The sequence below is a fragment of the Homo sapiens genome, chromosome 4 (assembly GCF_000001405.40).
Source record: "Homo sapiens chromosome 4, GRCh38.p14 Primary Assembly".
Classification (NCBI taxonomy): Eukaryota; Metazoa; Chordata; class Mammalia; order Primates; family Hominidae; genus Homo; species Homo sapiens.
The window spans coordinates 74,498,000-74,507,411 of NC_000004.12; the positions used below are offsets into that span (position 1 = coordinate 74,498,000).

At 40.8% G+C, this 9,412-nt stretch overlaps 1 annotated feature.

Annotated features, from left to right (window-relative positions):
* Window positions 5,162-6,361: an enhancer, noted in NCBI's record as "CDK7 strongly-dependent group 2 enhancer chr4:75368878-75370077 (GRCh37/hg19 assembly coordinates)". NCBI's record gives its function as "activates an origin of replication core promoter dependent on BRD2, BRD4, P300/CBP, MED14 and CDK7 cofactors, with strong dependence on CDK7, by STARR-seq in HCT116 cells {active_cell/tissue: HCT116}" and the evidence as "EXISTENCE:reporter gene assay evidence [ECO:0000049][PMID:35650434]".

Consider the following 9,412-nt stretch of genomic DNA (forward strand, 5'->3'; position numbering starts at 1 on the left):
ATTTCTTGTTGTCTGCCTTTGTGATTTGATAGTTGTCTGTAATGCTAAGCTTTGATTTCTTTTGCTTTATCATTTGTATATCTGCTGTAGATGTTTACGTAAAACATCTTATAGATATAATCTACTATTTTTAGCTGATGACAACTTAACTTCTGTTGCATACAAAAACCTCCAGACTTTTACTTTTCCATCATTTATGATTTTGATGCTAGAATTTATAGCTTTTTAGATTGTGTGCTCCTTAACAAATATTTTGTAGCTTTAGTTACATTTTACCATTTTGACTTTTAACCTTCATAGTAGAAATAAGTGTGATTTACACAGCACCGTTACAGTATTAAAATACTCTGGATTTGACTATGTATTTGCCTCTACCAGTTTTATACTTTCATATGTATTTATGATAGTAATGATCAAAATTTCGTTTCCACTTGAAAAACTCGGATTCTTGTAAGGCAGGTCTAGTGGTAATGAATTCCCTCAACTTTAGTTTGTCTGTGAAAGACCTTATTTCTCATTCATTTCTGAAGGACAGCTTTGATGGTTATTAAATTTTTGGCTGACTTTTTTTTCATTCAGCATTTTGAATATATTGTCTTATTCTTTCCTGATCTGAAGGTTTCCCCTGAAAATATTTTGATAGTCTAATGTGTAACACGATGCTTTACTTTTATTGTTTTAAAAATTCTCTTTTTGTCTTTGACCTTGACAGTTTGATTATAATGTGCCTCATGGAGGATGTCTTTGGGTTGAGTCTATATGGAGACTTTTGAGTTTCATGGATCTAGATGTCCATATCTCTCCTCACACTTGGGAAGTTTTCAGCAAATATTTTTTAAAATAAGCTTTATGTTCCTTTCTCTGTCCTGTCTTTCTCTGGAAGTTTCATAATGTGAATATTTGTTCACTTAATGATGTTTCAGAAGTCCTGTAGGCTATCTTCATCCTTTCTTATTCTTTATTCTTCTTTTTCCTCTGAGTTATTTTGAAAGAACTACCTTCAATCACAGCTGCTATATTCCTACTTAATGTGGTTCATTATTGATTATTTCAATTGTATTATTTCATTAATTAAAATCTTAAGTTCCAAGATTTCTGTTTAGTTCTTTCTTTGTGTGATATCTATCTCTTTGTTGAATTTCTCATTCTGATCACGAAGTTCCCTTCATTTTATTCAATTGCCTGTTTGAATTCTTTTGTATCTTTCTGAGTCTGCTTAATATCATATTTTGAATTTCTTTTCAGGCAATTTATAAATGTCCACTTCTTTGGGGGCAGTTACTGAAGAATTTTTGCATTTTTTCTGTGGCATCATGTTTTCTTGCTTTTTCCTGTTTCTTGTGTTCTTGCATAGACATCTGTGCTTCTGGTGGCACAGTCACCTCTTCCAGATTTTACAGAGTGGTTTTGTAAGGGAACACTTTTACCTGCAGATGGGCCTGAGGATGATGATTGGGCATGGTGGGGTGGCTCTAATTACATGCAGAAACAGCGGTGTGGTCTCTGTGCAGCTTCTTTTGTTGTGATCAGTATTAGTGATGACTATGGGTACCTCAGTTAAAAGCATTAGGAATCCTCCTGTTCTTGTCTTCCTGACAGTGGGGCATCTTAGCTAAGGTGATCTTTCTTGGTGTTAGGTCTAACATGGCTCACAGGCAGCCACTGTGGCACTAGAATCCAGGGCATAAGGGGAAAGTGCTTGGAGCAGCTGTGGAGCCAGGTTTATGGGCTCAGGTAGAGCCAGGTTTATAGGCCTAGGGTCTTGCAAAACTACTGTACTGACTAGGATATAAGGTCCAAATTTACTATTCAAAGCATGAGTGAATGTCATTCTTCCATTCAGCAATCCAGCAATTTGGGCCCAGGAGGCTGGAATGTAGCCATGATTCTTATTCTGGGGGAAAGGGGACAGCACTGGTACAGCTCTGGGGAAGAAGAGCTGCTCTGGAGGCTCAGACTCCATGAAGCAGGGCACAGTTGGAATTCAGTACATGGAACTAATAGGACGCAGCAGCAGCTCAGGCTCCAGGGGTGAGGTACCACACAGTGTTGACTCTGGTCCTTGGAATGATGTGACACAGTGGTAGCCCAGGCTCTGGGAGTTCAGGTGCAGCAGCAACAAGGCCCCAGTAATGGCAAAATGCCTCTGTGGTTTGGGCCCTGGAGAGCAAGGAACACTGCAGTGATGACTGTACTCCCTGGAGAGGCAGAGTACCTCAGCAGCGCAAGTGCCGGGGATAGTACAGTTCCAGTAGGTAGGGTGCTGTGGCTGTTCAGCTAGAAGGGCAGGGTGACACAGCTCAGCCAAGACTCTAATTCCCTGGAGTGCAAGGCACTGCATCTTCTCAGCCTCAGAAAACAGGGCTACCTAAGCTACTGGATCCCTAGGCATGGAATCATGGTAGCTGTGATGTTGAGAGATGCAATTGCTCTGATGTGCCAGAGGCTTGAAGCCCCTGGGCAGATAAAGTGCTACCTTATCCGTGTCATGGGAGTGGTAACTGCCCCAGTGTGGAGGAGGCCTGAAATCCTGAGACAGGGAGAATCATGTCTGCTCTGTGGTTGAGGGCATGACTGCTCTGGTGTGTCAGAGGCCTGAGGTCCCTGGGGAGTAGAGTGCTGCTTCCACTGTGGTATGGAGGGCATGGCTGCCCTAGTACTTCAAGGTTTTGTGTCCCCAAGGTCAGGGAACCACTTCAGTTTGATCCTAAAGGGAAGATATACCAGCAACTGGGATGGAGGGATGGTGTGGCTGTGTGGTAGCTTGGCACTAGTGAGTAGGACATATCAGCAGCTCTTCTTGGGGATGGCATGCTACTGGGTAGGCACGGTGCAGTGGAAGGATGCAATGGCCACTTGACCCCAAAGCAGAACACACTCTTGCAGTGGCTTTTGCTAGAAGATAGCACAGAGCAGCAGCAGCAGCACTGGCCACAGGGGTTAGGTACAGTGTCAGCTCCTTCTCTGGAAGGAGAAGTCTATGGAGTCTGAGAGTTCCCTCAGCTGGGCTTAGAGACTGTGAGGACTTCAGAAGTCTCCAGTAGCAAAGACTGCAGGTGCAGGGTTGATGGGGGGCACTGGGGTCTGTTTGCTTACATTTTCTCCACAGGGAAAAGCCCCTCCTGATTCCAAGCTGATCTCCACTAGAGAGATGGGGTGACAAAGGCAAGATGTTTCCGTCTCTTCTCTACATGGCCACGTTTAGTTTCCTTTACAGAATTTCTGCTGCATCTTTGCTGTTGCTCAGTGTTCTCCTTTAGTTATTTCGGTCAAAATGTAGTTGTTTATTTGTTATTTTGGGGCCTTTCTATGTGTGTGAGGGGAAAAGGGCACTAGGAGTTTCTAGTCAACCATCTTGCTGATGTCACTCTCCAGCATTTCCATTTTCCTAGGATGCCACACCTTACCCAGCCATTCTCACAAACTTAAGTTCTGAGGGAATATAGTTCAATTAAGGTTAAATCATTTATGTTGTATTTTAATAATGAATATCTGTGTTCTCCTCCAGCATGAAATTAAACAGTTGTATTTTTGGTTCTCTGTGTTTATAATTTCTGAACCTATCAATGGTCATTTCCTGTATAAATCAAAAAATGTATTTTGGTATTGGATATAAATTGACAGCTGATGCCTTAAGAGGCAGCTGGAAATTTTCTGTAAGATTTTCATTAGTCAGAGTTACTCTTATACCCACAGGAAGAACATTCAGTTGATAACCCATATAATCCACATGAAGTGTTTGTAGATTGCTCATCATTTGTGGTTTAGAGGAAAGATGGCATGCCACATCCCACATGGAATAAGGATGTTTAGGCAAGAAAATACATCAGACTCTTTCAAGCTACATTGTTTATGTGGCCTTCATAAGAAGCTGACTGAAATTAACTACAAGTTCCAAAAAATGTTGATAAACACCTTATGAAATGACACACACATGAAATTAGGTGACGTCAAGAGAATGATCATTTATGTACTTTGAAACATGCTTTTAGAGTAGTACTGTCTAGCTGAAACATAATAAGATGTGCATGTTTAATTTTAAATTTACTAGTAGCTACACTATTAAAAAGAGAAACAATGTGAAGTTACTTTTAATCATCTAGTTAATTTAACCCAGTATATCTGAAATGTTATCATTTAACATGTAATCAATATAAACTTCTTAATAAGATAGTTTACATTTTTTTCATACTGGATCTTCAAAATCTATTCTATTGTTTTCCCATGCTGAGAAAAATGACTGCCTGCAGTCTCTAAGCTTATTCTTGCCCTAACAATTCTCTTCAGCTTTGGATCTCTGTGGGGTTGCTCTAGGTTCCACAAGTCACACAAGCAGCATCTTCACTCAGAAGCCAAGCAGCATGAAAATTTGATCCACTGGATGATCAAATTCATTCTGGGCCCAATGTTACATTTTATTAACACACTAAATGTTGTCATGATATGCTTCCTGACAGGAGTTTTTAAAGTGTTAGAAGAACTATTAACCAAAACCTCTGCTCCACCCCAGCTTTACCTGAAGATTAAGTATGGTTAGTCAAAACCTGACAGAAACAACCATCATCATATCCAAACCAAGTGAAAAATTTTATTTCAGTAAAAAGTGGTGGGTTTTATCTTATTCATAACTGTCTTAGTCCATTCAGGGTGCTATAGCAAAATACCATAAACTGGGTTATTTATAAATTACAGAAATGTATTTCTGCAGTTCTCAAGGCTGAGAAGTCCAAGATTAAGATGCTAGCAAATTTGGTGTCTGGTGAGATCACCAAATTCTGGGTTCATAGATGATGCTCTTTATTCTGTCCTCGCATGATGTAAGAGGTGAGGAATCTATCTTGGGCCTCTTTTATAAGGACACTAATTCCATTCATGAGGACTCTGCCATTTATAACCTAATCACCTCCCAAAAGCACCACCTCCTAATACCATCACTTTGGGGGTTGGGATTTCAACATATGAATTTTGGGGGTACAAAAATATCCCGACTATAGCCTTCTACCCCTGGAACCCCAAAGTTCATTTTATTTTCACGTGTGAGAGAGATTTATTTTATCCCAATAGCCCCGACAGTTTTAAGTGACACCAGCATCAACTCAAAAATTTAAAGTCTCATATAAATATCATCTAAATCTGATATGGGTAATATTCAAGATAGAATTCATCCTAAGGCAAATAGCTCCCCAGCTCTGAACCTGTGAATTCAAACATGTTATGTGCTTCCAAAATACAACTGTGGGACAGGGCATAGGACAGAAATTCCCATCCAAAAGGGAGAGACATGAAAAAAAGAAAGAAAGAAATGACATCTCCCAGGCAGGTCTAAAATCCAACAGCACATGCAACATTAAATCTTGAGGCTTCAGAATAATCTTCTTTGATCCAATACTCTACCCTCTATACTCATTGGGACAGAGGTCTCACGTTCTGGACCCACTGAGTGGAAGTTCTGTTCCTGCAGCTTTTCTGTGCAAGGTTGGGCCCCCATGGGTTTGGGAGGCTCTTCCCCACAGCTGTGAGACATGCCTCAGCTTTCATGGATTGGAGTTATATGCCTGCAGCTCTCTCAAGCTGGAATTACATACTGGTGGATCTGCTTGTCTGGGGTCATGAAGGCAACCCCACTCCAACGACTCAGCTTTTCACTGAATGAGATGGTACTTTGGGGAAGATATGAGATAATTCATTGCATCAGGACCTGAGATGGTGTGTAGGAAGACTTCTCCAGGGATGCTGACCAAGGTCCATTTCCTCTTTTCCCTACCAATCCTGAAAGAATAACACTCTTTATGCTTGTCATTACATTGTTAGTCATGACACACAGAGAGTAGTTACAATGAGCCATGGGAAATGACGCATTCACTTCTTTGATGGAGGCACTTCTGCCTTTCTAGTCCCACTTCCTGCAGTGTCCAACTCTTACTGCATGTAGTGATAGAACTAAATGACCTCTATTTTATCAGAAATGCCACACCTTTCTAGCTATATGCACCTTTGCATGCAGTTCCCTACACCTTTATTTTTTCTCATTTGAATAATTTTCTTTCATAATTCTAGACAAATTTTAGTTGCCCTCTGTACTAGGTAGCTTTCCCTCTGTTAAATGACCCTGCTAAGTTAACTAATATAAATGCCTTTTGTTATAGTTGCCATAGTAACTTTAAATTTACTGTGTGCTCATCTGCCTTTAGATTGTAAGTTTCTAAAGAGCACAGATCATATTTTTATTTGCTTTTGTACTCCAGAAATTAAAATAGTGCCTAACACATAGTTTATGCTCAATACATACTTTTTGATCTGAACTAAACCACTAGTCCTGATATGTAACTTGTCTCTCAGCTTTAGAATTCCACCTTAAATTGCAACTTCTGAGAAGCAGAAAGGACATTGTCTGGTAGATGGCTCAGGGCCAACCAAAATATTTAACTCTGTGGTAATTATAATGCTGAAAACACAGCACATAATTTCCATAGGTTTTTTTTTTTTACTTTATTCATCCGCTTGAAAAATGCATATTGAAGAACATAGGGGAAAACTTCAATGGCATTGGTCTGGGCAAAGTTTTTTGGATATGATCTCAAAAGCACAGGCAACAAAAGCAAAATAGACAAATGGGATTATATCAAACTAAAAACTTCTGCACAGAACACACATACATACACACACACAAACACATATATACACACACACACCCACTTCAGAGTGAAGAGACCACTTATAGAATGGAAGAAAATATTTGTAAACCACACATCTAGTAAGGGGTTAATATTCTTTCAGTGACACAATGGGCTGACTATTGTTAACAATAATTTATTGTATATTTCAAAATAAATAAGAGTGGAATTGGAATGTTCGTAACACAAAGAAATGTTAAATGCTTGATGTGATGAATATCCCAGTTACCCCGATTTGATCATTATGTATTGTATGTTTGGGTCAGAATTTCACATGTACCTCCAAAACATGTACAACTATTATGTGACCATAATAATTAAAAATAAAGCAACTTGATAGCAAGAAAAAAAAATCCCATTTAAACATGGGCATAAGACCTGAATAGACATTTCTCCAAAGAAGATATACAGATGCCCAACAGGTATATGGAAAAATGCTCAACATCACTAATCACCAGGGAAACATAAATTAAAGTCACAATGGGATATCACCTCATACCCGTAGGAATGGCTCTTGTCAAAAAGAGAAAGACAAATGTTGGTGGGGATAAAAAGAAAAGGGAACTGTCGCGTACTGTTGGTGGGAATGTAAATTAGTACAGCCATTTTGAAAAACAGTATGGGGTTTTCTTTAAAAACTCAAAATAGAGGGGTCGCTTCCAAGATGGCCAAATAGGAAGAGCTCTGGTCTGCAGCTCCCAGCAAGATCATCGCAGAAGATGGGTGATTTCTGCATTTCCAACTGAAGTACCTGGTTCATCTCATTGGGACTGGCTGGACAGTGGGTGCAGCCCACAAAGAGTGAGCTGAAGCAGGGTGGGGCATCATCTCACCCAGGAAGTGCAAGGGATCAGGGGATTTCCCTTTCCTATCCAAGAGAAGCCATGACAGACTGTACCTGGAGAAATGGTACACTCCTGACCAAATACTGCACTTTCCCACAGTCTTAGCAACAAGCAGACCAGGAGATACCCTCCTGTGCCTGACTCGGCAGGTCCCATGCCCATGAAGCCTTGCTCACTGCTAGCACAGCAGTCTGAAATCAACCTGCGAGGCTGCAGCTTGACAGGGGGAGGGGCATCCGCCATTGCTGACGCTTCAGTAGCTCACAGTGTAAACAAAGAGGCCAGGAAGCACAAACTTGGCAGAGCTCACCACAACTCAGTAAGGCTTACTGCCTCTATAGAGGCACTTGTAGGGGCAGGGCATAGTAGAAAAAAGGACAGCAGACAGCTTCTACAGACTTAAATGTCCCTGTCTGACAGCTCTGAAGAGAGCAGTGGTTCTCTCAGCATGGCATTTGAGCTCCAAAAACAGACAGACTGCCTCCTCAAGCAGGTCCCTGAACCCCGTGTAGCCTGACTGGGAATCACCTCTCCAATAGGAGTCAACAGACACCTCAAACAGGCAGGTGTCCCTCTGGGACAAAACTTCCAGACGAAGGATCAGGCAGCAATATTTGCTGTTCTGCAGCCTCTGCTGGTGATACCCAGGCAAACAGGGTCTGGAGTGGACCTCCAGCAAACTTCAACAGACCTGCAGCTGAGGGGTCTGACTGTTAGAAGGAAAACTAACAAACAGAAAGGAATAGAATCGATATCAATAAAAAGGACATCCACACCAAAACCCCATCTCTAGGTCACCAACATCAAAGACCAAAGGTAGATAAAACCACAAAGATGAGGAGAAACCAGAGCAGAAAAGCTGAAAATTCCAAAAAACAGAGCACTTCTTCTCCTCCAAGGGATCACAGCTCCTCACCAGCAAGGGAACAAAACTGGACGGAGAATGAGTTTGACAAGGTGACAGAAGTAGGCTTCAGAAGGTCAGTAATAACAAACTTCTCTGAGCTAAAGAAGCATGTTCTAAACCAACATAAAGAAGATAAAAACCTTGAAAGAAGGTTAGATGAATGGCTAACTAGAATAAACAGTGTAGAGAAGACCTTAAATTACCTCATGGAGCTGAAAACCATGGCACAAGAACTTCGTGACACATACACAAGCATCAATAGCTGATTCAATCAAGTGGAAGAAAGGATATCAGTGATTGAAGATCAAATTAATGAAACAAAGCAAGAAGACAAGATTAGAGAAAAAAGAGTGAAAAGAAACAAACAAATCCTCCAAGACATATGGGACTATGTGAAAAGACCAAATATACGTTTGATTGGTGTACCTGAAAGTGACTGGGAGAATGGAACCAAGTTAGGAAACACTCTTCAGGATATTATCCAGGAGAACTTCCCTAACCTAGCAAGGAAGGCCAACATTCAAATTCAGGAAATAAAGAGAACACCACAAAGATACTCTTTGAGAAGAGCAACCTCAAGAAACAAGATTGTCAGCTTCACCAAGGTTAAAATGAAGGAAAAAATGTTAAGGGCAGCCAGAAAGCTCGGGTCACCCACAAAGGGAAGCCCATCAGACTAACAGCTGATCTCTTGGCAGAAACCATACAAGCCAGAAGAGAGTGGGGGCCAACATTCAATGTTCTTGAAGAAAATAACTTTCAACCCAGAATCTCATATCCAGCCAAACTAAGCTTCATAAGTGAAGGAGAAATAAAATCCTGTACAGACAAGCAAATGCTGAGAGATTTTGTCACCACCAGGCCTGCCTTACAAGAGCTCCTGAAGAAAGCACTAAACGTGGAAAGGAACAACTGGTATGAGCCACTGCATAAACATGACAAATGGTAAAGACCATTGACACTATGAAGAAACTGCATCAATTAAC